The sequence below is a fragment of the Homo sapiens genome, chromosome X (genome assembly GCF_000001405.40).
Source record: "Homo sapiens chromosome X, GRCh38.p14 Primary Assembly".
In the NCBI taxonomy this organism is placed as follows: Eukaryota; Metazoa; Chordata; class Mammalia; order Primates; family Hominidae; genus Homo; species Homo sapiens.
The window spans coordinates 30,652,345-30,679,637 of NC_000023.11; the positions used below are offsets into that span (position 1 = coordinate 30,652,345).

Below are 27,293 nucleotides of genomic sequence, written 5' to 3' on the forward strand. Positions count from 1 at the left end.
TGGAAAGTTTTTCTATACATACATAAATGTATATTAGATGTATATAACATGTATTTACATGTGTAACAATTGTAACTACAAATGTGCTCCCCGCCCACACACACTGGAGCCTGGGTTTGTTTTGTAAACTGTTTCACAGTGTGGGTCTTGGTTCCAAGTTTGAAAGCCCTTAGAACACAGGATCCAGAAGGATCCGGGCAAGGTAAATTCAAGGTCAAGGGAGAGTCCCTTTTCTGTCCCCTGCCATCCAAAGCAGTTAATGGAGGGAGAGGAAATGGCGTGTGGGGGAGGGGACCGCAGAGTGAGGCCAAACGAGGAGCAAGGGCGCGTCAGGACGGAGTGGTGCCGGGCGCCTTCTGCCTGAATGGTCGATAGAGGAACTTGGGGAGGTTGATTTTGGGTGCTTTCCTTAAATGCTAAACCGAAAGAACTTCCGCGTTTCTTGTCCCTGAAAAGCTTGCAACGGTGAAGGATTCGCGTTGCTCCTTGAGGTGACCCTATATGGGGTCAATCCCAGCCAAAGGAATGATTACGATTACCAGGGGCCAGATGCAGGGAGGTGGGCGGGGCGTGGGAAACGCGGGAAGGCCGGGCCGGGTAGGTCCACACAGCGACTCACGTCGCTGCACGACTCTGCACAGCCCACTGGAGGGAACAAGCAGTTCTACACACTTTGAGACCCCTATGGAGGCGAGCCCCAGGACACTAGTGGAAGTGCGCTCTTTTCGCCGGCCAGGAGCGCTGCCTGCCAAAGGGCAGTACTCGTCTCCGCCCCATGCCATGCAGCTGGATGGCTCTGCTGTCCGCTCGCCGGGCCCCCACGTGACCTACTGCGCGGGCCGCCGCCTCCACCGCGCCCAGGCCCCGCCCCCGTGACGTCTCATCGCCCTCTGCCTGTCCGAGCGTTCGGCTCTTTTGCGTTTGCTGATTGGCCAGCCCAGGTGACAGCGCCCACCCCCACCCCCCCTGACACGCCCCTGGAGCCTTGGGGGTACGCGGTGGGGGGCGGGGCCTGGGCCGGAGGGGCGGGGTGAGAAGGCTGCGCGCGGGTAAAGGGGCCGCCTCGAGCGCGGTCCGAGCGTTCAGCGGACGCGCGCGGCCTCGATCTCTGGACTCGTCACCTGCCCCTCCCCCTCCCGCCGCCGTCACCCAGGAAACCGGCCGCAATCGCCGGCCGACCTGAAGCTGGTTTCATGGCAGCCTCAAAGAAGGCAGTTTTGGGGCCATTGGTGGGGGCGGTGGACCAGGGCACCAGTTCGACGCGCTTTTTGGTGAGCCCGGGGTGACATGTGAAGAGGCGCTGAGCCGGGGCGGGAGTCGGGGGACGGAGGGGGTGGCTGTTGTGTCCCCATCCCGCATCTCTCCGGCCCGGTGCCCCGGCCGCTGGGCAAGGAGGGAGGCCGGAACGGGACCTGCCACACTGGGGATGCCCCAGCCAGGCCTGGGGGACCTCGGCCTCTCATGACCCCCATGGCCGAGTTGAACAGTCGCAGTTTTGGTGGCGGAGCTGGGTCACCTACTAATGGGGTGACTCTTCCCCCAAAGGGAGCAGGGACTCTCCGAGCATCCGCGCAGAGCGGCCCGCTTGCAGTAGGGGACAGGTGGCCACATTGACGGCTACCGCGGTCTTCCCCAGGAACATTTGGCCTGCGAGACACAGGACGTCCTTGGATGGGGGGAAAGCTGTGTCACGGCTGTGGTAGCTAACACAGCGTCCTTTCCAGCAGTAGAACGAATAAAGTATTGGAGTGATGATGCGTTGTCATCCTCTCCCATAAAAATTGCAGAGGGTTGAATACTGGGGAGGGTGGCAGAACAAATTAGGAAACAGTCACACTACACTGGTTTTGCCATAATCTTTATTTAATTCCGAAGACTCGCAAATTTCAGTTCTGAGACTTTGCCCATTACAAACAAATGATTGTCCTTACTGTGCTTCACAGCATAATGCGACACGGAAATTCTGTTTCTCTTTTTATTTACCATGTGTGACAGCACAGTTTTACCACAAAAGATTGCTATTTAAGTGACTGCTGATTAATTTTTGTGCAATTAGTAAACTTGCTCTTAAAGTGACCTAGCACAGAGTTCAGTAAGATAATTTAAAAGTAATTGAGGCCGGGCGCGGTGGCTTACACGTGTAATCCCAACAGTTTGGGAGGCTGAGGCGGGTGGATTACCTAAGGTCAGGAGTTCGAGACCAGCCTGGCCAACCTGGCATAACAAAAATTAGCTGGGCGTGGTGGCGGGCGCCTGTAATCCTACTTACCCGGGAGGCTGAGGCAGGAGAATCACTTGGACCCGGGAGGCGGAGGTTGCAGTGAGCAGAGATCACACCACTGCACTCCAGCCTGGGCAATCCAGCCTAGCCAACAGAGCGAGACTCTGTCTCAAAAAAATAAAAATAAATAAAAAATAAATAAAAGTAATTGAAATGAATGCCTGCTGATAAAAGCCCATGCTTTCAATGGATATTTGACTAACTTGGCAAGTTGATGTAAATATTTAATGATTATTTAGCTCTTCACTTTACCGCAAATCATGTTTTCCTGTGTTATTTAGTATGTATATATCTGTACATATATACACATATGTGTATATTTATACATAGGCATTATACATACAATGTATATATTTTTTCAAAGTTCTGTCAGAGCTGGCACTTGACTAAAAACTGCATTTGTGCTTTGATCCTGACATATCTTTTTTTGTCTAAAGTGAGAAGCTTTCAGTCTAATTTTGGTTTGAATCTTATTTAATGACTTACCCTGGTTTGAGCTGCCAAGCATAGTTCCACTGTCTCTTGCACTGTTTATCTTTTGATCACCCAGGGCAGGTTTCACTTTGTCTTATATTCATAGAAATGTTTATAGAGTAATCCTGAATCATAAGAAAGTTTGCTTAACTGGATTTGATTAATACATAATATACACGATCATCATCTTCCCAACTTAAGAAAGACCATTAAGACATGTGCCAACTAACTGTGGGTTGATGTTTAAAGCCATATTCAAGAATTGCCCACACAAATGCCTGCAGGGACCAGGCAGGTAGAAGGGGGAAGGCAGACTAGAGAGATATCCAGGTCAAGGGGACAGCTAGTAGCTGCCAAGCAGGAACACAAGCCCAGTGCTGCCAGATCGTCAGATTAAAAGCAGGTAGTCTAGAGTTTTCAATGAAATCTTTCAATTCTTAAATGTTGGCAATTAGTTTATAAAGCACTGTGGGGGCCAAACCAAGCATGGCAGATGTTCTCAAGTTTATACAGCCTTTGCTCAATATGAAAATGGGTAAAATATTTCATAACTTTGTAGGCTTCCTTTAGGAGTCAGCTTGAACTGTCCATGCCTTCTTTTTGACTGTTCATTATTGCTGTCCATGTAGCCCAGCAATCTTCTTTATTCACTACAGGTTGTTCTTGGTCCCTCAGGTTTTGTTGCCTAAAAGACATCTTTCTACATCAATGAAGAAGAACTTGATCAACTTCATATTACCACAATTAATTGTTCAGTCTGTAACATGAACAACATGAGCCTTCAAAAATTGGCTCCTGTTTACTGGGTTCTGTGAGGCCTCGTCTCATTGCATGTAAGCTAAGATGCAAATTCAGAAGATTCTTATCCTGCTTAGAGAATGATTTTATAAAAGTTGATCAGTAAAATTGTCCTCTCCTTGAGAAACAACTATGAAAGCATGCTCTAGAGGCAAATAAAAAAACCGTAGAGATCCTGTGTGAAGTAGTGAAAAACTTAGGAATGGTTTAGCAAGGTGTTTTTTCCTTTGTTTATAAGGAGAGAGATTGCTAAACCACTCCCTGCAAAATGCAGATAAAAGATTTGCTGAATAAGTGCTTCAATCACAAGATGATTCCCGGGAGTTATTCCAGTCATATTACTCCACGTTGTAATTATGACTGAAAAATAATTGCTTACCTCTCAGGAAAGAATACAGTGGATAAGAACTGTCATAAGGAAGCTTATAAAATTAAAGATATTTAAGTAATTTCCTATTATTCATTAAATTTGCATATTTAACTTGACTTTCCTGAGACCAATAATCTCTGCAAGCTTTCTTCTTCTTTTTTCTCTGTTAGCAATATTAGCTTTCTCCCATAAGGAGAAAAGGCTTTATCTGTGCTCTTTCATCCCAGGGAAATGCCTCCACCTCTATCCCACATATCCGCTTCTCTACCTCTAAATAGTGGCTCAACTGCCACCTTTTAGTGTAAGTCTTCCTCAAACCGTTATTCAGAATTCCCCCCCCTTCCTACAGCACTTTTAAAAATACTTCTATTAATAGCTCTTATTACCTTCCCCCTTGTATTATAATCGTATACCTGCTGTACTTGGGAGCAGGGTCCTCCTTTTAAGCTATTTGTCATGTTGACCAAGATGTTTTATGAAATACAAAGATGAACAGCACTTAAAGACTGTTCAGAGAGTGTTTTATACATGTTTATTGAGTAGATTTTTATTTCTCTTTAATAAGTTAACTGAATTATTTTTTATTTTATTTTATTTTTTTGAGACAGAATCTCGCTCTGTAGCCCAGGCTGGAGTGCAGTGGCATGATCTCGGCTCACTGCAGCCTCTGCCTCCCAGGCTCAAGTGATTCTTCTGCCTCAGCCTCCTGAGTAGCTGGGATTACAGGCATGCGCCACCACGCCCGGCTAATTTTTACATTTTTAGTAGAGACGGGGTTTCACCATGTTGGTCAGGCTGGTCTCGAACTCCTGACGTCGTGATCCACCCACGTTGGCCTCCCAAAGTGCTGGTATTACAGGCGTCAGCCACCGTGCCCAGCCAAGTTAACTGAATTTTAATTCTGGTTTTCTTTCTTACCTCTTAAAACATTCTTGGGTACGTTTGGTTACTTAATTTCTTCTTACATTTTAGTAGTAGACATACAATAGAACATGTTCATTTCCTCATCAAATTGTCAAAGAATTAATCTTGGGACCCCATGCATATGCTTTGTACAAGCGGAAAATTTCCAACTTATCTGATAGGAAAGTGAATTGGGGTTGGCACATGGTAACTCAGATTGCAGAGTAGGAACTTCTTGGAAAGAGAATTAGTGTAACAGGTTTTAAGGAGGGGCCATTTCTTTGTAAGACAAAAGTTTCAGCTTAAACAATCAACTTCCTTCTTTAATTTGGTAACTTAATTTTTTCCCCACTATGATGATTTTTTAAAAGACTTGTAATGTGTTGTGGCTTGAAATGTGTCAGGTACTATGTTGAAGACTTTTCCAGCATTATCTCATTTAATCCTCATAACTCTGTGATGTAGATCGTATTAGTAAGCTTCTTTACACAGGTGATTAGACTGTGGCTGAGGATTGTGCCCAAGGTCACAGAGTAACTGGTGGAGCTAGGATTCAAGTCCAGGTCTGTTATACTCTGAAACCAGTCCTCCTGACTACTGCCTTGGGTTCCCCAGCTGTGTAGAGTACTGTGAAGGGGAAATGAGAGAAGGGGGAGGCCACCTTCTCACCTATTAATCAAGTGTCAGTTCTGATTATCATCACGAATGAATCTTCACCAAGAAAAACATACTTATAAATTGGTTTTGCAATCTATAAAAAATATTGCCTTTGAATGAGTACTGTGGGTTATGATCATCTTGTGACTCAAATTCAGTGGGTCCTAGGCAGGGCTCAGGTGTGTCACTGTGGATAATGGTTGCATCATCATTTTGTTTCAACCGACAATACATATAAAGAATGACTAGAATTGTAGCTCAGTGCTTGTTTTGGCAGGAAGCATTCCCTTGGCCCCAGCTGTCCCATCATACTTAGAGATCTCATAAGGCTTACAGATGGATTTCCTCTTTCCTTCATTTATGTATTCAACACATTTATTAAGCACCCATTATGGGCCAGGGACTAATGAACAATAAATTTTGGTAAAACTGATTTGGCTCACAGTTGGAATGAGGCCACTCTTGTGATAAGTAGAGTTGTGATTCTTTTTGTTTTTTTTTTTTCTGAGACGGAGTCTCACTGTGTTACCCAAGCTGGAGTGCAGTGGCACGATCTCAGCTCACTGCACCCTCCGCCTCCCAGGTTCAAGCAATTCTCCTGCCTCAGCCTACTGAGTAGCTAGGATTACAGGTGTGCGCCACCATGCCCAGCTAATTTTTTTGTATTTTTAGTAGAGACGGGGTTTCACCATGTTGGCCAGGCTGGTCTTGAAATCCTGACCTCATGATCCGCCTGCCTTGGCCTCCCAAAGTGCTGGGATTACAGGCGTGAGCCACCACGCCCGGCCAAGTTGTGGTTCTTTTGTTGTTTCTTTCTTTCTCCACTACATTTGCTTGTTTCCTTGCCCATCACATTACACAAGTACCAGGAACACATTCTCAACAGAGAGCTGCCACCCACTCTTGTCTTGTCTGTCACAAGACTAAGTGGTAAGAGCTTTCAATTTTGAGCTTCTTGAGGGATAGAACCATGTCCTTTTTCTTCCCCAAAGCCTGACACAGCATCTGGCATGTGGTAGACACATGTTACATGAACCAACATTAGCAGCAAGGGACCTGCAAGGACTCAAGTGTGTTGACTGGAACACTTGGATTAGAATAGACCGATAAAACTTGAGGCATCTTGGAAAAAGTCAAAATCAGAAACTATAGCTCTATTTGATGTATGTATATGCCATTTACTACAATTTCTTTCTTTCTTTCTTTCTTTTCCTTTTTGAGACAGAGTTTCACTCTTCTTGTTGCCCAGGCTGGAGTGCAATGGCGTGATCTCAGCTCACGGCAACCTCCGCCTCCTGGGTTCAAGCGATTCCCCTGCCTAGCCTCCCCGAGTAGCTGGGATTACAGGAATGTGCCACCACATCTGGCTAATTTTTTGTATTTTTAGTAGAGATGGGGTTTCTCCATGTTGGTCAGGCTGGTCTCAAACTCCCTACCTCAGGTGATCTACCCGCCTCGGCCTCCCAAAGTGCTGGGATTACAGGCGTGAGCCACCGTGCTCGGCCAATTTCATTTTTAAGAAAAACATAATTTCATTTGCTATGTTTTCTTTACTTCTGTGGCTTGTTGGAAGATGCCTTTTCTAGTCAAATTTGGCATGGAACATATTTGTGGCTAATATTTTTATTTTCAGTCACTCACATTTACGTAGTATCATGGTGTTCTCAAGAGGAAGTTTACATTTCTGAATAATGTCTTATCACATGGTAAAGTTTAGTGTGTCATAAAAGAGTAGACTAGTGGGGAAATCACATGGGGAGGGAAATGAATGTGCACATTTATGATAGGACAGATGAATTAGTCATAGGATGAGTGAGGCAAGCCTACAGGACAGTTACTTAGTAAAGAGAGCATTTCAGCTCCCCAGAAGTCTCATTCTTATAAGGCAGAGAATACATGTGTTGTTTCAGAAGCTAATTTTTAAATATTTTTTGTTTTTGAGACGGAGTCTTGCTCTGTTGCCCAGGTTGGAGTGCAGTGGTGTGATCTCAGCTTACTGCAACCTCCACCTCCTGAGTTCAAGTGATTCTCCCACCTCAGCCTCCCCAGTAGCTGGGATTATAGGTGTGCACCACCACACCCAGCTAATTTTTGTATTTTTAGTGGAGATGGGGTTTTACCATGTTGGCCAGGCTGGTCTTGAACTCCTGACCTCAGGTGATCCACCCACCTCGGCCTTCCAAAGTGCTGGGATTACAGGCGTGAGCCACCGGGCCTGGCCAAACACTTTTTTATAAAAACAATTTTCCTTGTTTTTTCAGTTTTTAATTACTCTCCTCCTCCAAATCTGGAATTGAGTCATAGTTTGCGCATAGAGCTGAATATAGACCTGGTGACTTCCAACTGTAATACTATCACTTATAGGTAATAGTAATAATAATAATAATAATAATAACATAGCAGTAGTAGCAGCAGTGACAGTAGTGGTTACATCTTTTGGGTATATACTGTGTCTGCACGGAGCTAAATTCTCATTCTATGTTCACTTTCCTTGTTTCTTCCTTTTTAAATTGCCCTTCACCCAAAACAAAATCTGGAATTGAGACATGATTTGGGTTTAGAGATGAATATAGGACTGGCTTCCTATATTCATTATTCAGAATGAGTGATTTCTAATCCTTATTCTGTCATCTATTAGTGGTGGTGGGAGTAGTAATTGTAATAAAAGTAATTATAAAATTAGTAGCAGTAGTAGCAACAATGATAGTGTTGACACCTTTTGGATGTATACTCTGTGCCTATTCTATGCTAAATACTCTTCATAAATTACTTTATTATCCTTTTACAAATGAAAAACATAGAGGCTCAGAAAAAAGTGTCAAATAGCTGATGTGGGCAGGGCTGGAGCTCGATGTGCCCCAGCTCTCTGTGCTTCCGGGGTCTGTGTGTGCTCTTTGCCTCTACATCACACCAAGCATGACGTTGTCAACTACCTTTCTGGCCCACACAAAAGTCTGAGAACAGATTTTTTTTTTTTCTTTCTTCTTTTTTTTTTTTTTTTTCCGAGACGGAGTCTCGCTCTGTTACCAGGCTGGAGTGCAGTGGCGTGATCTCGGCTCACTGCACCCTCCGCCTCCTGGGTTCAATCGATTCTCCTGCCTCAGCCTCCTGAGTAGCTGGGATTACAGGTGCGTGCCACCATGCCTGGCAAATTTTTTGTGTTTTTAGTAGGGACGGGGTTTCACTAGGTTGGTCAGGATGGTCTTGATCTCTTGACCTCGTGATCCGCCCACCTCGGCCTCCCAAAGTGCTGGGATTATAGGCATGAGCCACAGTGCCCAGCCTGGATCTTTTTCTTTAAGCTTATGACCTAAAATAGAAGCAACTGATGACTGGATATCTCCACTTCTGTGCCCAAGCAACATCTCAAACACACATTATCTAAAACAAAATTTGCAATCTCCTATGCGTTCCTGTCCGGAAGCTACTGCTCCTACCCTATCCCTTGTCTGGTAAACACTGCCTACTCAGTTGCACTGACCTGTAACTTGTCATCCCTGGGTGTTGCTCTTTTTCCTGCTTGTACCTCCTGAATTAAGAATCTCTCTGCACTTGCACTTCACTTCTGTCAATCCCATCGCAGCGGCCCTCCTAGTGGAGGCCTCTGTATGTTTCACCTGGACTGCAGACACATTGCAACTGCTCTTCCTGTCCCAGTCTTGCCTCCCTCTAATCCTTTCTCATCAACAAGTACTGTGCACCCTCGCCCACCTGAACACCCTGCAGTCCTATGCCCACTGTCCCGCATGGACTCCCTTCTGTTCAACCTGAAGTCTTAGTTTAGAAGTTACCACTTCTGAGAGCCCTTCTCAGACCCTCATAATTCTGGGTTACATGTCCTTTCTCCTCTTCATAGCCCTGACAGCCCTATGTGAGGCAGAAGTTGCAGTGAGCTGAGATTGTGCCACTGCACTCCAGCCTGGGTGGCAGAGCCAGACCCTGTCTCAGACAAACACCCCAGCAAAAAACCAAATGACCAGGCTAGACATTGTATAAAGCAAGTGATACAGCCACTGCTATCTTTAATTGACAATGATTTCTGAAATGTACTTGAAAAAATCAGACTAGCATTCTTGCCTCTGGGTACTGTGTTTTAATGTGGAGTTAATTATCCTCTACCATAGAGTCTTGTGGAAACATCATTAGCCTTCTTTGTACATTTGGCCATCTGCAGACAAATCAATGGCCAGAAGGCTTCATGTGAACCTAGATATATGAGGAAAAAAGTACTCTAGAACTTCATGTCCAGTACAATAGCCACTGGCCACATGTGGCTACTGATTACTTTAAATATGGCTAGTCTGAATTGAGTAGACTGTAAGTGTAAAATATATACCAAAGACTTAGTAAAAACAAATCATTAATATTTTATATCTATCACATGTCAAAACAATAGTTTATAGATATATTGGCTTAAATGTGTTATTAAAATTAATTTCATATGTTTCTTTTTATTTTTTAATGACACAATTTAAAATTAGTATGTGGCTTGCGTTTTTGGTTTGGGTTATATTTCTATTGGACAGGCTACATACACTAAGGTGGTGTCAGTCTCCTAAGTTTCAGAGCTTTGATGAAGTAGGGAGGTCTAGGCTCCATCCTGGTACATCCAAATGTTGTTTGATTGGATGGCTTCATGGTCTAATACAGCAAATAGAATTTACCAAAATCCTTCTGTTTTCTGTGTCTCTTCCAAAGATCCATGAATTCATTTTTAGCATAAGGGCCCTGACGTTGCCCTAGTTAAAACTAGGAGGTGATGGAAGAGGGGTCTCATTCCATTCAGAGCCCCATAGGTCTGCTATTGAGGTTTTTATGAATTCAGCCAGCAAAAAGGGACACCTTGTTTCTTTCTTTCTTTCTTTCTCTCTCTCTTTCTCTTTTTCTTTCTTTCTTTCTTTCTTTCTTTCCTTCTTTCTTTCCTTCCTTCCTTCCTTCCTTCTCTCTCTCTCTCTCTCTCTTTCTTTCCTTCCTTCCTTCCTTCTCTCTCTCTCTCTCTCTCTCTCTTTCTTTCTTTCTTTCTTTCTTTCTTTCTTTCTTTCTCTTTCTTTCTTTCTTTCTTTCTTTTCTTTCTTTCGTAGTTTCGCTCTTGTGTCCCAGGCTGGAGTGCAATGGCGTGATCTCAGCTCACTGCAACCTCCACCTCCTTGGTTCAAGTGATTCTCCTGCCTCAGCCTCCTGAGTAGCTGGGATTACAGGCATGCGCCACCACGCCCAACAGATTTTTGTATTTTTAGTAGAGACGGGGTTTTGCCATGTTGGCCAGGGTGGTCTCAAACTCCAGACCTCAGGTGATCCACCTGCTTCAGTCTCCCAAAGTGCCGGGCGTCAGCCACCGCGCCCGGCCAATACTTTGTTTTCTTAACCTAGAGTCCTTTAGGGATTTGAGAGTAGCAGGGAGCAGCTGTAATATGAATAACAGTAACACAGCTGGAATTTCCTATTGTAGTGAAGTTTTTCTGCACATAAGTGTTTCTCATTTTATCTGATAATTTTTGTCCTAATAAGTACATGTAATACATCATGTTTTTTGGACATTCAACAAATACTTATTGAGCACCAACTTTGTGCCTGGCACTATTCTAGTTCCTAGGGATACTTCAGTGAATAAAACAGGGCAAATGGAACTGGCTTCCTAGAGACACACCCTAATGCTAATGGAGTTGGTATCCTAGAGACATACCCTAATGCTACCTTGTAAATCACAGGGCTATCACATGGTGTATGATGTATCAAGTTAACCTTTGACTTGTAAGATATTTTATCTTCTCAAAGGACTTCAGAATTTGCCCTCTTGCTTTCATTATGTTTATTATTTCCTCCAGAAAAGAGGAAAGGGGGCGTGTGTGATATAGAAGGAGGAAGGCAACATTCAACGCTTTTTATTTTCTTAGTCTGCATTGAACAGGTAATTTTCTCCCACAGGAAACCTAGGCATGGAAACACTTTACTAATTGGAAGTGACTTCGCTGCTGTAATTAGAGTAATTTTGGAAGTTAATTTTAATCAAAATATGCATCTTACTCTGTAAGAGTAAGTACTTTGGTACTCAAATATAGATACTATAACATGGAAACAATATATATGAAAAACTTGCTCTCTCTCTCTCTGTATATATATAGATATCTATATATTATATATATATTTTATATATATCTATATATATTTTATAGATATATATTTTATATATATCTATATATATTTTATAGATATATATTTTATATATATCTATATATATTTTATAGATATATATTTTATATATATCTATATATATTTTATAGATATATATTTTATATAGATCTATATATATTTTATAGATATATATTTTATATAGATATATAGATATATATATATCTTATATATATATATAGATTTTTTTTTTTTTGAGACAGTTTCACTCTTGTTGCCCAGGCTGGAGTGCAATAGCGTGATCTCGGCTCACCGCAACCTCCGCCTCCTGGGTTCCGGTTCAAGCAGTTCTCCTGCCTCAGCCTTCTGAGTAGCTGGGATTACAGGCATGCGCCACCACACCTAGCTAATTTTTGTATTTTTAGTAGAGACGGGGTTTCACCATGTTGGCTAGGCTGGTCTCAAACTCCTGACCTCGTGATCCGCCTGCCTCGGCCTCCCAAAGTGCTGGGGTTATAGGCATGAGCCACCACGCCCGGCAAAACTTGCTATATTTTAAAAAGTGTTGTTTTTAGTAGTGCTAAAATTGTAGAGGATCGTATTACACTTCTTTGTTAGTTTTCATCCATTGGTTTTAATGTTTTATATCAAGGGTCAGCAATTTATGACAAGCATGTCACAGAGAGTACTCAGCTGGATGGGGCCAAGTATATACTTATCCCTTTACTAACAAGGACTCTATTGCCTTTTTTTTTTTTTTTTTTTTTTGAGACGGAGTTTTCCTCTTGTCGCTCAGGGTGGAGCTCAATCTCAGCTCACTGCAATCTCCATCTCCTGGGTGGGTTCAAGGGATTCTCCTGTCTCAGCCTCCTGAGTAGCTGGGATTACAGGCTCCCACCACCACGCCTGGCTAATTTTTTGTGTTTTTAGTAGAGATGGGGTTTCACCATGTTGGCCAGTCTGGTCTCAAACTCCTGACCTTAAGTGATCTGCCTGCCTTGGCCTCCCAAAGTGCTGGGATTAAAGATGTAAGCCACCGTGTCTGGTCTTCTATTTCTCTTTTATAAGAGCTAGATGCGTAGCCACACTTCCCTTCAAAGGAATCTACACAGTACGTGTCTATGTGCCTGAGTATCTGTGACCCTTTCTGTTTCCACGTCCAAGATAAATGGAGTGGAAACTTACACCATTGCTATTAGTATTGTATCAGCTCTCTTTTATTATTCTTGGTTTTCCTATTCTGTAAAATAAATCCATATTATTAATTAATGTGTTAAATTTCCGAGAACCATTTTGGTTTTTTAAGGAGTAGGGAATTGCTTCTTAATTTACCTTTATCTTCAATAGGTTTCTTTTTACCTAAAGAGAAGTTATTTCTGATGCTGCCTTATATCTTTTATGAATCCATATGAAAAGAAAGTGGAACATCTTATATGGCATTTCATCTAATTGGACTTTTTCTACCAGTGAACAAGAACTTCAGTTACTGAATAACTTTAAACATCCTTGATATCTGCCTGCATTTTTACATTAATATTACAATATCTTTTTCAGGTTTTCAATTCAAAAACAGCTGAACTACTTAGTCATCATCAAGTAGAAATAAAACAAGAGTTCCCAAGAGAAGGGTATGTTTCCTAATTTAATATGTAAAGACACATTATGTTTGTTAGTCCATCTCACCCAACTTGCCCTGTGGATTTGTAAAGTAAACTTGGTCAGACATCCTCCTGAAAACATTTGAAAGGTTGTTATTAGTCAAGAAAATATGCAATAACTTGGTATGTCTTACATGTGAGGAATTGATGGCTTAGGAATTCAGTTAAAGATAAGGAATGAATAATAAAGTAATAAAGCAAAAGAGTATTAAATATCAGAAATTTCACATTAACTTTGAAGTCATTTAGTTTTGTGTTCCTATTATTGCAAAAATGCTGCTTTGCTGATTTGAGTGTCAGGTTTGTTTTATAATAAAGGTATCTTTTTAAAAAAGTATTCACATATCTTAACATCTAATACTAAAATCACATTTTTGGGAATAGTATTCATAAGTAGTAATTGTGATTAAATATGATGTTAAGTATATTATTTAAAATTTAATGATTTTTATGATATAACCACTTTGAAAAACTGTGTTGCAGGTTATTGCAAAGCTAACCATACACCTGCAGCATTTCACTCTTAGGAATTTACCCAAGAGGAATAAAAGCATATGCCCATCGAAAGACTTGCACATGAATGTTTATAGCTACTTTATTAAAAGTCGCCCCAAACTGGAAACCACCCAAATGTCTGTCATCAGTAAGATGGATAACAATGGAATGCCATTTAGTAATTTTAAAAAAGTGGACAGATACTTGCACCAACACAAGGGAATGTCACTGGAAATATGGAAAATGAAAAAGTTGGATACAAAAGAGTATATACTGCATGACTCCATTTATCTGAAATTTTATAATAGTCTAAACTAATCTAGGATGATAGGAATCAGAAAAGTGGTTGTCTGTGAGGTGTGTGATTCACTTGAAAGGAGCATGAAAGAACTTTCTGGGTTGCTGGAAATATTTTGTATCTTGACTGGGGTGTTGGTTAGATGGGTATTTCCACTTGTCAAAACTCAGCAAATTGTGTGCTTTCGATTTGTGCATTTCACTGTAAAGTTTACTTCAATTTAAGAAAGAGAGAAAAAAATTGATGTGTTTCTAAATTGTATTGTCTTCTTCACATGAAAAAATGTTCTAATTTTTTAGAGTTCCTTTGTTTAATAATAAAAGTTATTGATATGTTAGAGGCATTAGCATGACTGTCCACAAGCCTGAACCCAGTGCAATTTGTAAAGAAGATACCTGAGTCTTGGCTAGATGAAAATTATAAATACACAGAAGGAGACTGGGTTTTTAAAAATAAATTAGAGACGACTTGGCGCGGTGGCTCACGCCTGTAATCCCAGCACTTTGGGAGGCCGAGGCAGGCGGATCATGAGGTCAGGAGATCGAGACCATCCTGGCTAACATGGTGAAACCTCGTCTCTACTAAAAATACAAAAAATTAGCCGGGCGTGGTGGCGGGCGCCTATAGTCCCAGCTACTCGGGAGGCTGAGGCAGGAGAATGGCGTGAACCCGAGAGGCGGAGCTTGCAGTGAGCCGAGATTGCGCCACTGCACTCCAGCCTGGACGACAGAGCGAGACTCCATCTCAAAAAAAATAAAAATTAAAAAATTAAAAAAAAATTAGTTAGAGACAGAATTCAAAGCCCAGGAAAGGGAAGCATTTAGTTAGGCCTGAGAAAGGCAGAGAAGAAAGGCAGTTGGAATTCCCTTGCTACTTCTGGATCCTATGGTAGAATCATTTTAGTTTGTATCATTTCTACTTTTGGACTTCCTCAAATTACCATATTTCTCCTAGGCTTCTCACCCTTCTCATTTACTATTAGCCTTTCATCCTTCTGAGGCCCTGGTACTTTACCAAAATTATACTGAGATTGGGTCTGAGAACTTGGACCAATCACTTATCTACATGAAATAGTTAAAAGGAGTTTTAAATTTCTCCCTAAATTCCAACAAAACATTTTGGGAAAAAAGTAGCAAAAAAGACTAGTATACTTATTTGACTTTTCAGAATTCCTTTTGCTTCCCAAATATATCATTCTCAATAATAATAAATATATTTCCATCTACTTAGAAATAATCAGCGATTAGTGAAACATGCAGATAATTTATCAAAATTAATTAAATCTGCAGGATATAAAGAAGGGGAACTAATTTCTTATTAGACTTGGAAAAATAATTTTAAAATAGGTAGATATTTGCTGTTTGTGGCCTGCCATTAGTGGCCTCCTTGAAAATGATTAATTACTATGTGGAGAATAATAAAATTGTAAGGAAATAGGCTTTTCTTGAAATCATTTCTTTAAAATGTGGAATGTAATTTGCTTTGCTTAATCTGGTTTTCTTTAATGTATGCACCAGCCACACCCTCATAAGTTAACATTTCTATAGAAAAAAGTTATATTTGTGTTGCTTTCTTACTAACCAAATGCCTTCTTTTGTTCAAAGATGGGTGGAACAGGACCCTAAGGAAATTCTACATTCTGTCTATGAGTGTATAGAGAAAACATGTGAGAAACTTGGACAGCTCAATATTGATATTTCCAACATAAAAGGTATTTTAGTAGAATATTTTACCCACATAATAAGACTCTCTCAATCAAATTCATTAATTTATTCTTTCAGCTTATAATTGAGTGCCTATGCAGTGCCAAGCATTTCTATGAGAACTTGAGGATACAACACTAAAGAGGAAGATTTAAGTTCTTGTCCTCATGGAGCTTTTATTTGGATGGGGGCGAGATAATAAGAGCAGAAAAATATAATTTCAAATACTAAAAAGTTCCATTCCAAAAAATAAAAACCAAGTGGTATGGTGGGTTTTGCCTAGAAGGGCTTGCTTTAGATTAGGTGGCCAGGAAAAGCCTTTCTAAGGATGTGACACTTTTGCTGAGCTCTCAGAGGGCAAAAGGGGTCAGCCATGCCAGTGTCTAGAAGAGTGTTTGAGGAAAAGGATGCAGCACGTACAAAGGCCCTGAAGTGGGAATAAGCCTGGGACATTTCCGGGTCAGAAAGAAGGCCAGTGTGTCAAAAGAAGACTAAAAATGTTGAGCAGTGAGACTGGGTAGGGGGTTTCAGTAGGCGATCAAATTGTGGAAGTGGGTCGGGCTTCATCAGCCATATTTAGGATTTTGGATGTTATTCTTAGTATCATAGGGAGCCATGAGAAAGTTTAAGCAAGGCGGCAAGGGATGACTTGCAGTTTCAAGGCAACTTTCTGACTGCTGTGTGGAGAGTAGATGGTAAAGGCAAAAGTGTGGACACAGGGAGACTAGTGCGGAGGCTGCTATGGAAGTCCTGAGAGAGGATGGTGGCTTGACCAATAATGGTAGCAGTGGAGGTGGAGAGAAAGGGCCAGAATTTGCTGATAGACTGGATGTTGGGGTAACAGAGAGAGTAGTGGGGTTGAGGGAAGAGATTGGTCAAAGGTGATGCTTTGGTTTTTGCCAGAGCTCCTGGATAGATGAGGATGCCTTTTGCTAAGGAGAGAAAGACTAGAGGAATGAGTAGGTTGTGGGGAAGGGGTATTTGGAATCCAAACTCTTCACTTCTAAAATTTCCCTGAAATAATTGCTTGAGGGTGTTAGATTGTTATGGATTTCTCTGAGAAGTCCTAGTAGTTTTTTTTTTTTTTTTGAGATGGAGTCTCGATCTTGTCCCCAAGGCTGGAGTGCAGTGGCATGATCTCGGCTCACTGCAACTTCCACCTCCCAGGTTCAAGCAATTCTCCTGCCTCAGCCTCCCAGGTAGCTAGGATTACAGGCACACACCACCATGCCCGGCTAATTTTTTGTATTTTTTGTAGAGACGGGGTTTCACCATGCTGGCCAGGCTGGTCTCGAACTCCTGACCTCGTGACCCGCCCGCCTCGGCCTCCCAAAGTGTTGGGATTACAGGCATGAGCCACCGCGCCCAGCGAAGTCCTAGTAGTTTTAATTGAATATCTATGTTTGGCTTTTCATCATTCATATAGGGAAAAAAAATCCAGCCACCCAAGATTGATATAATAGCATAAAAGGTGGAAGCATAGTGTGGAAGTTTGCTGTCTACTTTATAGCCTAAAATTTTCAAGTTTACCATTCAAGGGCTCTTTTTTTCCTCCTTAGGTAGTTTGACTATAGATAGAGAGAACATCAATTGGTGGTGGTGGCTTGATTGCCATCATCTTGGCTTTGATACTTACCATCGCTCCTGAGCCTTTCCCCTATTTGTATAAATTAAAACTCACTTAAAAAAAAAGACTACAAATCTATAGAGTGCCTACTATGTGCCAGATGTGCTAAGGATACAATGGAGGTAATGCTTAAGTGCAGAAAACATGTTAATCTGATAATCACAAATAAATGGAAATGCATAAAATAATAGAGTTATTTCTGTTATTGCAGATTTTTTAAAAGTATAATTTGATATTTTATTAACAACTTTTAATACTATGCACATATTAATCCTATCCTCCCTTTATCCCTACATCTAAGTGGAAGGGCTTCAAACTTCTCTTAGGGTTGTAGTCCTGAACTTTAGATGAGTTGTGCATTAGTGATTGTTGTTGATCATTTCCTTGAGCTGTTCTTGCACTTCTCACAGTCTAAACAGTGCAAACAAATAATAGGCAATCAGTAGCACACTCTTGTCAAAATTACCAAAGACGTAAGTAATCCAGGCAGCTTAAAGCCATGTTTAGAATGTAGAGTCCAGGGTGATTGACCATGGCTTTGACATCATTCTACCTCCCTTACAGGTAAGGTAGGTTGTGATGTGTTGGCTTTCTGGACCCACTTGGATGCTATTCCTTTCTCCCTTGTTTTTACGGTTATGTGAAGATGACACACAACTCCTGCCCAAGTGATTTGTCTTCCGTTTGCACTACCTGGTCTAAGAATTGAACAGGCAGCTTCTCTATACTCCTCTGTGTCTGGCCAGTGTGAAGTCCACATCTGAGCCAAACTGACCCAGCACTTCCATCTGTACAACTACCATCCTCTGGCCACAGAAGAGAACATCCCACAAGCTCCTCCATACCAGGCCAGTTGTACTATTTTTTTTTTTCCCAGAAAATTTATCCAATTGGCATTGCCAAGGACCAAGCTTTTGCTTGCCTGCATAGAACTCTATATCACAAACTGTTAAAGCTGTAAAGGAGGCTGGGTGCAGTGGCTCACACCTGTAATCCCAGCACTTTGGGAGGCTGAGGTGGGTGGATCACGAGGTCAGGAGTTCGAGACCAGCCTGGCCAACATGGTGAAACCCTGTTTCTACTGAAAATACAAAAATTAGCCAGGCGTGGTCGTGGGCACCTGTAATCCCAGCTACTTGGGAGGTTGAGGCAGGAGAATCGCTTGAACCCAGGAGGCAGAGGTTGTGGTGAGCCGAGATTGCCCCACTGTACTCCAGCCTGGGCAACAGAACAAGACTTTGTTTCAAAAAAACAAAACCAACAAAAAAGGCTGGGCGCACAGTGGCTCACGCGTGTAATCCCAGCACTTTGGGAGGTCGAGGCAGGCAGATCACCTGAGGTCAGGAGTTCGAGACCAGCCTGGCCAACATGGTGAAACCCTGTCTCTACTAAAAATACAAAAAATTAGCTGGGCGTGGTGGCGCACACCTGTAATCCCAGCTACTTAGGAGGCTGAGGCAGGAGAATCTCTTGAACCTGGGAGGCAGAAGTTGCAGTGAGCCGAGATGGCGCCATTGCACTCCAGCTTGGGCAACAAGAGCGAAACTCCATCTCAAAAAAAAAAAAAAAAAAAAAAAACAACACTGTAAAGGATCTTCAGTCAACTAGACCAGCTCCCTCTATCTGCAAATTAGGGAAGAGGACTTAACTGCAGGTTATGTAGCTTTTTAGTGGTAGATTAACATTAAAGCACAGCTCCCCTGACTCCTAGACCAGAGTTCTTTTTCCTGAGCCACACTGATGGTAATCTCACAAACCACTTCTGTTTTTATTTCTTGTGTGGCAAGTAAATTAACTTTGCCAACTGAAGAGTGATATCATTTATAGTCCTACCTGACAGTCATTAAGAGTTCTTCATGTCTGGTATTTCCTTGGCAAATTTCAATTTCATTGGTTTTGTTATGCTTATCTGACAGAAGGTTTGTTGATTTCAAGTCACTAGGAACAGTGCCTCCAAAATTAAAATTCACTCTCCAACTGAGCAGCACACACTAGCTCAAGGCAATTAAATAGACTGCTTCTTTCCTTCTAGCGGTAGAGTCAGCTCTGTTTGCCTGTCACTGGGCTCAAGGAATTACAAAGTATAAAGAGTTACAGTAGCAATTCCAAAATACAAAGAGTTACGGCTGGGCATGGTGGCTCACACCTGTAATCCCAGTACTTTGGGAGGCCGAGGCGGGTGGATCCCCTGAGGTTGGGAGTTCGAGACCAGCCTGACCAACTTGGAGAAACCCCATCTCTACTAAAAATACAACATTAGCTGAGCATGGTGGCTCATGCCTGTAATCCCAGCTACTCAGGAGGCTGAAGCAGGAAAAACGCTTGAACCCAGGAGGCAGAGGTAGCAGTGAGCCAAGATCACGCCGAGCCGAGATCATGCCATTGTACTCCAGCCTGGGCAACAAGAGCAAAACTCCATCTCAAAAAAAAAAAAAAAAAAAAAAAAAGAGTTACATATTCATTCATGTGATAGAACGAAAACACAACATAAACTCTTTCAAAATTGAGAGCATAAAATTCTCAGAGATTAGATTATCTTGTATCTAAAACAATTATTTCCCTGTTAGAGAAAAGGGAAACCCACATATCCATTCCTCCACTGCCTTGCCCTACCCAACATATTCACACACATTTCTACCACCTCTTAGACTCATACTGTCAGGGGCCTCTCAGGGGTTTCAGGAAGGCACCTCGTTCTCCAAAATGTTTCCAGCAGCAGCCACATCTCATTTGCAATTTTTCTAACCCACCTCAAGTACACATCTTCCAGAGCCTGTTTTAAAAAGTTTTATCAGGCCGGGCGCAGTGGCTCACGCCTGTAATCCCAGCACTTTGGGAGACTGAGGCGGGCGGATCACCTGAGGTCTGGAGTTCGAGACCAGCCTGACCAACATGGAGAAACCCCATCTCTACTAAAAATACAAAAATTAGCTGGGCATGGTGGCGCATGCCTGTAATCCCAGCTACTCGGGAGGCTGAGGCAGGAGAATCACTTGAACCAGGGAGGCAGAGGTTGCGGTGAGCCGAGATCGCGCCACTGCACTCCAGCCTGGGCAACAACATCGAAACTCTGTCTCAAAAAAAAAATGAAAATAAAAAGCTTTATCTCTCTTCCCACATGGTATTCCTTTTTGTAGCCAGAGAACCTTCCTCTGAAGCTCTTATTATTTTGTTCTGTGTGTTTTTAGTTTTCTCCTAAAAAATGTGTTATAATTATATGTTATGATTTTAATTTTAAAAAAGGATGCATCTCATCCATAATTCTACCAAGACAACAATTATTAACATCCTGGAGTATTTTCAAAGGCTCTTTTTTCTAAGGTATATTTTCTTAACTGTGATTATAACTTCACGGAAAATTTTAAGAAAAATTAACCAGGGATTTTGAGTGTAGCTTTTAACTAGTTTAATTTTACTACTGACATTCAGTGTAGAGAAAAGTGCCCCCAAAGAGAATATGTGGGTAAAGTATGAAGCTGGTAAATGCAAGAGCAATACGATATATGATAATGGTTATGATGTCCGTAAATGAAAGACTTTGAGGCCAGGAAATACATGTTTTATGCATGTGACTTTCATATTATCTTAAACAGTGCACATGAGGAGGAGTGGAGAATTATAAAACCTGAATGTGTTATTCCAAGAAAGAAGGAATTAAAATTAGGAACCATTAGGAATGGCACATGTGCTGAGATTAGCAGTTGGCAACGTTTTCTTTAAAAAACATAGAGGATTTTAGGGTAGGAATGACAAGACACTGGAACATTGAAAAAGTTCAGAGATAAGTTCACACATAAGACTTGTGTGCCCTGGGGAGAAATAGGTAGTAAAGACATGTTTGTGGCTGGCAGAGAATCCTGGGAAGCTGTTTCACTGGACTTTGCCTGCAAGCAAAGCAATTTTACTTGGCATGAAGGAATCCAATTAAGATAGAAGAGAAAAAAGGAATGCCCAGGGAGGAACCCGTGACTGAAGAATCAGATTGAAATAGCTCTAAATTAGATTCTGAAGAAAAGTTAAAATGACCTGGTAAAGATAGGTAGCATGAGAGGCATAGAATAGTGACTCAAGGATTGTGAGTAAGAAAGTAGCCAGCTTATTGATGGTAAAATTAACATAGTGAGGAGGAATAGGAGATTTTAGTTGACTATAAGTTCATTGTGATCCCATGTTGTAAAGTTGTCACACGCACAAAAAAATTACATTCACAATATGTACCCATAGAGCTGCTGCAGAATTCCTTTATTTGCCCTCCTTAGCTCAGTCCCATTCTCTGAAACTGTTACTCTACTCTCTTCTCAATAATAATGACCATGGCAGCAGCAGTAGGTAACATTTATTGAGTGCTTACTGTGTACCAGGCATGTGTTTTAATATACATTGACTCCTCACTGTAACCCTGTAAAGTTGGAACTATTATTCTCTCCATTTTACAAGACACAAAACTGAGACCCAGAGTCACACTGCTAGGAAGCACAGGAATTGGAATTTGAATCCCAGCTATCTGGCCTCAGAGCCTGAGCTCTACTGAATGGTGCCCCAAACTCTTGCCCTGTTTTGGCAGATAACCCTACCTCCTGCTTCATGGAGAAAGTTGAGGGTCTGCGGCCTTAAATCCTCACCTTCCTGTTGCTGTGCTTAATATCTGGATCTCCTGCCAACTTTCCTTCATCACAAGGGCAGCAATAGCCTTCTGCCCCACTTGGAGCTCCTCCCTCCACTTGTGCTGGTAATCCATCCTCTCCTGTCACTACATCAGTCAGAACCAAGTCCCCATTGATTCCCAGCCCCATCCATCCCCTCATTCTCCTTTCTCTTCTTTATTTACTTTTATAAACATTTTTGTCTTACCCAGAATCTCTTCCTTATACCCTATGCCTCTAAATTTCTTTGGAGTAGAATCTCAATCATCTTTGTATCTCTAGAAAATATTTTTTAAAAAATATATATATATATAAACTTTTAGATACAGAGGGTACATGTGCAGGTTTGTTATGTAGGTATATTGCATGATGTTGAGGTTTGGGGTACAGACCCGTCACCCAGTTAGTGAGCATACCACCCAATAGGTAGTTTTAGAAAAGATGTTGAATAAAGTAAGTCAATCTGCATTGGATAAATAGTATTAGAACAAGGGAGCTGATGTTCCCCCTCAGCTCTGTGCTGGTCAGAACATTCCTAGAGTATTGTGTTTTATTCTGGACGTACAGTTTGAGTGATATGGACATACACTTGCATGTTCCTAGGCGTGGTGATAAAGGGACTTTAAACCATGCCATGTTTAGGTGGGGTCAGTTGAAGGAAATTGGATTGTTTAGGCTACACAGCAGAAGAGAAGACTTGAGGTACAAAAGAGCTGCTTCAAGTTTTGAAAGACTGGCATGTAGAAGGATTACCCTTATTCTATATATCTCCAAAGAATATGACTAAGATCGGGAGGTGGAAGCTACACAAAAAATGATTTTTTTTTTTTTTTGAGACAGAGTCTTGCTCTGTCACCCAGGCAGGAGTGCAGTGGCCCGATTTCGGCTCACTGCAAGCTCCGCCTCCCAGGTTCATGCCATTCTCCTGCCTCAGCCTCCCGAGTAGCTGGGACTACAGGCGCCCACCACCACACCCGGCTAATTTTTTTTGTATTTTTAGTAGAGATGGGGTTTCACCGTGTTAGCCAGGATGGTCTTGATCTCCTGACCTCAGGATCCACCCACCTCGGCCTCCCAAAGTGCTGGGATTACAGACGTGAGCCACCGCACCCGGCCACAGAAAATGATTTTTATTCTTCTTTTTTTTTTTTTTTTTGAGACAGGATCTAACTATGTTGCCCAGTCTGGAGTGCAGTGGCACCATCAGAGCTCACTGCAACCCCAAACTCCTGGGCTCAAGCAATCCTCCTGGGTAGCTGGGACTACAGGCGTGCACCACCATACCCCCCTAATTTTTAAAATTTTTTTTTAGAAACAAGGTCCAACTATGTTGCCCAGGCTGGTCTTGAACTCCTGGGCTTAAGGAATCCTCCTGAGTAGCTGGGACTAAAGGAACACACCACCACACCTGGCTAATTTTTTTTTTTGAGATACAGTCTCCCTCTGTCGCCTAGGCTGGAGGGCAATGGCGCAATCTCGGCTCACTGCAACCTCCGCCTCCTGGGTTCAAGGGATTCTCCTGCCTCAGCCTCCTGAGTAGCTGGGATTACAGGCACATGCCACCATGCCTGGCTAATTTTTTGTATTTTTAGTAGAGACAGGGTTTTGCCATGTTGGCCAGGCTGATCTTGAGCTCCTGACCTCAGATGATCCACCTGCCTCGGCCTCCCGGAGTGCTGGGATTACAGGTGCAAGCCACCACGCCAGGCCATCTGGCTAATTTTTAAAAATTTTTTTATAGAGACTGGGTTTTGCTACATTGCCGAGGGTGGTCTTGAACCCCTGGGCTCAAGCCATCCTCCTGCCTCAGCCCCGAGTGGCTAGGACTACAGTTGTGTACTGCTGCATCTGGCTAATTATTTTATTTTTTTGTAGAGGTGAGGTCTTGCTACATTTTCCAGTCTGGTGGATTTACAAAAAGAAAAAAAGCACCAAAGTTGTCCAATGGAGATTGCTCTGCCTTGAGAGATGTAGTGAATATCTTGTCACTAGAAGTGCTATCTGGATGGTCATATGACAGGAGATTCTAGAGAAGATTTGAGCTTGAGAAGTATTTTTGCTTATACAGCCTTTAAGGTCTGTCCTAATCTTAAATTCTGGAAGAGCTGGATCCTTTGGCCAAGTGTGTTCTATCCAGGATGCACATTAGAATCACCTGGGGAAGTTTTAGGAACCCATACCAATGCTCACATCCCATCCCAGGTCAGTTACATTGGAATGTTTTGACCAGGGCTTGGTCATTGGTATTTTTTAAGAGCTCCTCAGTTGATTCTAAAGTACAATCAAGTCTGAAAACCTCCAATTTAGCTCAACCAAGCTGAATTGAATAAGATAGTGTGGGTTAGTGTTTTTTTACACTAAATATAGTACTTGTTTTATGTAGGTCAATATAATGTAAATGCCATTATATATTATATTTATGCCTGATTCAAATTCTTATGTATTGTGACATATTAAAAATACAGGAATAAAACTGAATTTCTAACAAACCATAATATAAGGATGCTCAGCATGAAGGATTTTGTCCATAGCTATTTTCTTAAAATGTAGGCATGTACATGTGCACACACACACACACACACAAATGCACACACATAGGGAGGAAAATTTCTTGTAGCAATTGGTAAACAAATGAATGAGTTGATTATTGGTCTGCTCAGAATAATAAATTGGGTATTATAAATTTGTGAAGTTATTGCATTCCTTAAAGCAACCAGTGTGCCTTTTATTTGGGTATTGATCTGGGTCCATCATTGTGTGCTAGTAGTAAAGCTGGAAGGAGTATGTAGAAATGAAAAGAAACACTTGGCATTGGGTATTGACTTTTTCTGGAGCCACTCAAAGAAAATAAACTAATATCACTACAAATGTTTCAAGTATTTTTTTGATTTGCTATGTTTAGTTGTGTCTCTAGTAAGATGAGAGCTGTTTTCCTGAAGTAGTTTCCTACTTGTTAAATTTTTGACTTCCTTCTGTTTAACTTTCTCTTTAAAGCTATTGGTGTCAGCAACCAGAGGGAAACCACTGTAGTCTGGGACAAGATAACTGGAGAGCCTCTCTACAATGCTGTGGGTAAGCTGTCATGCATGGATGTCAAATGTAGGGCCTTTCTTCACATTGCAAATGTGGTCATATTAAAATATCTTGCTAAAAAAGCATGCAGTCGCCAGGCATGGTGGCTCACGCCTGTAATCCCAGCACTTCGGGAGACTGAGGTGGGTGGATCACGAGGTCAGGAGTTCAAGACCAGCCTGGTCAACATGGTGAAACCCCATCTCTACTAAAAATACAAAAATTAGCCAGGTGTGGTGGCACACACCTATAGTCCCAGCTACTCGGGAGGCTGAAGCAGGAGAATTGATTGAACCTGGGAGGCAGAGGTTGCAGTGAGCCAAGACCTTGCCATTGCACTCCAGCCTGGGCAAGAGAGTGAGACTCCATCTCAAAAAAAAAAAAAGAAAGAAAAAAAAAAACACATGCAGTCATGGTACCTATAATCTTGATGGGATGGGCAGAAGAGTCTGCTAAGAAATTAACTGTTGTATATTTACCATTTTTGGATCATACATATTCACATAGTGAATTAACTCTCCCATGCTCTCTCCTCTTGCAGATTGTCTTACAAATGAGTGAATGTTTGCCAAATTGTTTTATAACCCCTGCTGTTTGTGACATCTAAAAGAGATCTTACCTCCTTACCCTCAAAAAATTAAAATTACGTGTGTTCACAGTCATTTTTCTATAAAGTACTTGTGTGTTTGTCTTTCCATCTAGGAATTTGAATTATTCTTCTAAGGTTATAAAAATAGAATATTCGAATTTTAGCTGCTTCTTCTACAAATGTGGCTATTTGAGCAGGGATTTAAAAAACCCCAAATCTCAAATATACCACTTTTAGGTATCACAACTTATTAGGTGTAAATGATCCTGAGTATATTTTAGCATCATTATTAGCATGACAGTTGTTGAACACCGAATGATACTACCACTTCCTAAAAGGAAAATTTTGTTCTAAATTACAATCACTAAAAGACTTCATTGTGTCAGAAAGCAAAGCACAATTTTTTATCAATTAAATACTAAGTTGTGGGATGGGGAATGGAATCAGAAATTATCAGAGAGGGGATAATTTTGGGGGAATAATCTTTATTAAAAGTTAAAGTATTTAATGTTATTGTATTATAAGAAAGTATTTAGTATGTTTTCTGTATTTATGATAAAAAATTAAATTCTCAAAAAATTTGAAAGAATTACAACTAAAGATCCTTTTAGTACATCTTTTTCTGTGGTGTTTTTTTTTTTTTTCTTTCCTCTGTTTTTTTTTTTTTGAGACAGTCTTGCTGTTGCCCAGGCTGGGGTGCAATGACACAATCTCGGCTCACTGCAACCTCCACCTCCTGGGTTCAAGCGATTCTCCTGCCTCAGCCTCCCCAGTAGATGGGATCACAGGCGCCCACCACCATGCCCAGCTATTTTTTTTTTTTTTTTTTTGTATTTTTAGTAGAGATGGGGTTTCACCACGTTGGCCAGGCTGGTCTTGAACTCCTGACCTCAAGTGATCCACCCATCTCAGCCTCCCAAAGTGCTGGGATTACAGGTGTGAGCCACCACACCCAGCCAGAAGTACATGTTTTAAATGTTTATTTTGTTCTCATTCTCATGAGTAATTCATTTTGAATATAAGACAGACTATTTAATGACTAGTATTTAGGAGAGTATCCTTTGATAGATCAATGTTAGCTAACTTCCTGAACTAGTTAAGGTTTTACTTTCTTTTGTTTTCTTAATGAAAGGAAGAGCCTACTCAGGCAAACCAGAAAGTTCCAGTTAAATTCTGAGCTTTTTTTTTTTTTTTCTTTTTTTGAGACAGAGTCTTCTCTTTCACTCAGGCAGGAGTGCAGTGGTGCAATCTCGGCTCGCTCTATCTCCCAGGTTCAAGTGATTTTCGTGCCTCGGCCTCCCAAGTAGCTGGGATTATAGGTGTGCACCATTATGCCCGGCTAATTTTTGTATTTTCAGTAGAGACAGGGTTTCACCATGTTGGCCGGACTGGTCTCAAACTCCCGACCTCAGGTGATCTGCCCACCTTGGCACGCCCGGCTAGTTCCAGTTATATTCTAAACATTGAATTGTAAAAATGGAACTTTGGACTTTGGATTGTTATTTTTCAAATAATGCAACTAGGTAAGCTGAAGTTATGCTTACAGTAAAGATTTAAGTAAATGTTTTACTAGAAAATCTTTCTGTGATGTTCTTA

At 41.6% G+C, this 27,293-nt stretch overlaps 1 protein-coding gene across 15 annotated transcripts in view, besides 1 other annotated feature; it reads left to right on the plus strand.

Moving 5' to 3' along the window:
• Nucleotides 749–1,168: a silencer, noted in NCBI's record as "silent region_20725". NCBI's record gives its function as "represses an Ori minimal core promoter by ATAC-STARR-seq in GM12878 lymphoblastoid cells {active_cell/tissue: GM12878}" and the evidence as "EXISTENCE:reporter gene assay evidence [ECO:0000049][PMID:35858748]".
• The window catches only part of GK (glycerol kinase), a 78,040-nt gene continuing 51,825 nt past the window's right edge, over nt 1,079–27,293 (plus strand). For 8 of the 15 annotated variants that reach the window (XM_011545491.3, XM_011545492.2, NM_001437590.1 and 5 more), the window contains exons 1-4: nt 1,079–1,271; nt 13,167–13,240; nt 15,668–15,774; nt 25,031–25,108. In XM_011545491.3, the coding sequence (XP_011543793.1) occupies nt 1,194–1,271; nt 13,167–13,240; nt 15,668–15,774; nt 25,031–25,108 (337 nt within the window). In that variant the 5' untranslated portion in view covers nt 1,079–1,193. Of the gene's footprint in view, nt 1,272–13,166; nt 13,241–15,667; nt 15,775–21,957; nt 22,123–25,030; nt 25,109–27,293 lie in introns of all 15 variants that reach the window. The other 7 variants (NR_174371.1, NR_174374.1, NR_174372.1 and 4 more) reach the window with 3 other exon arrangements.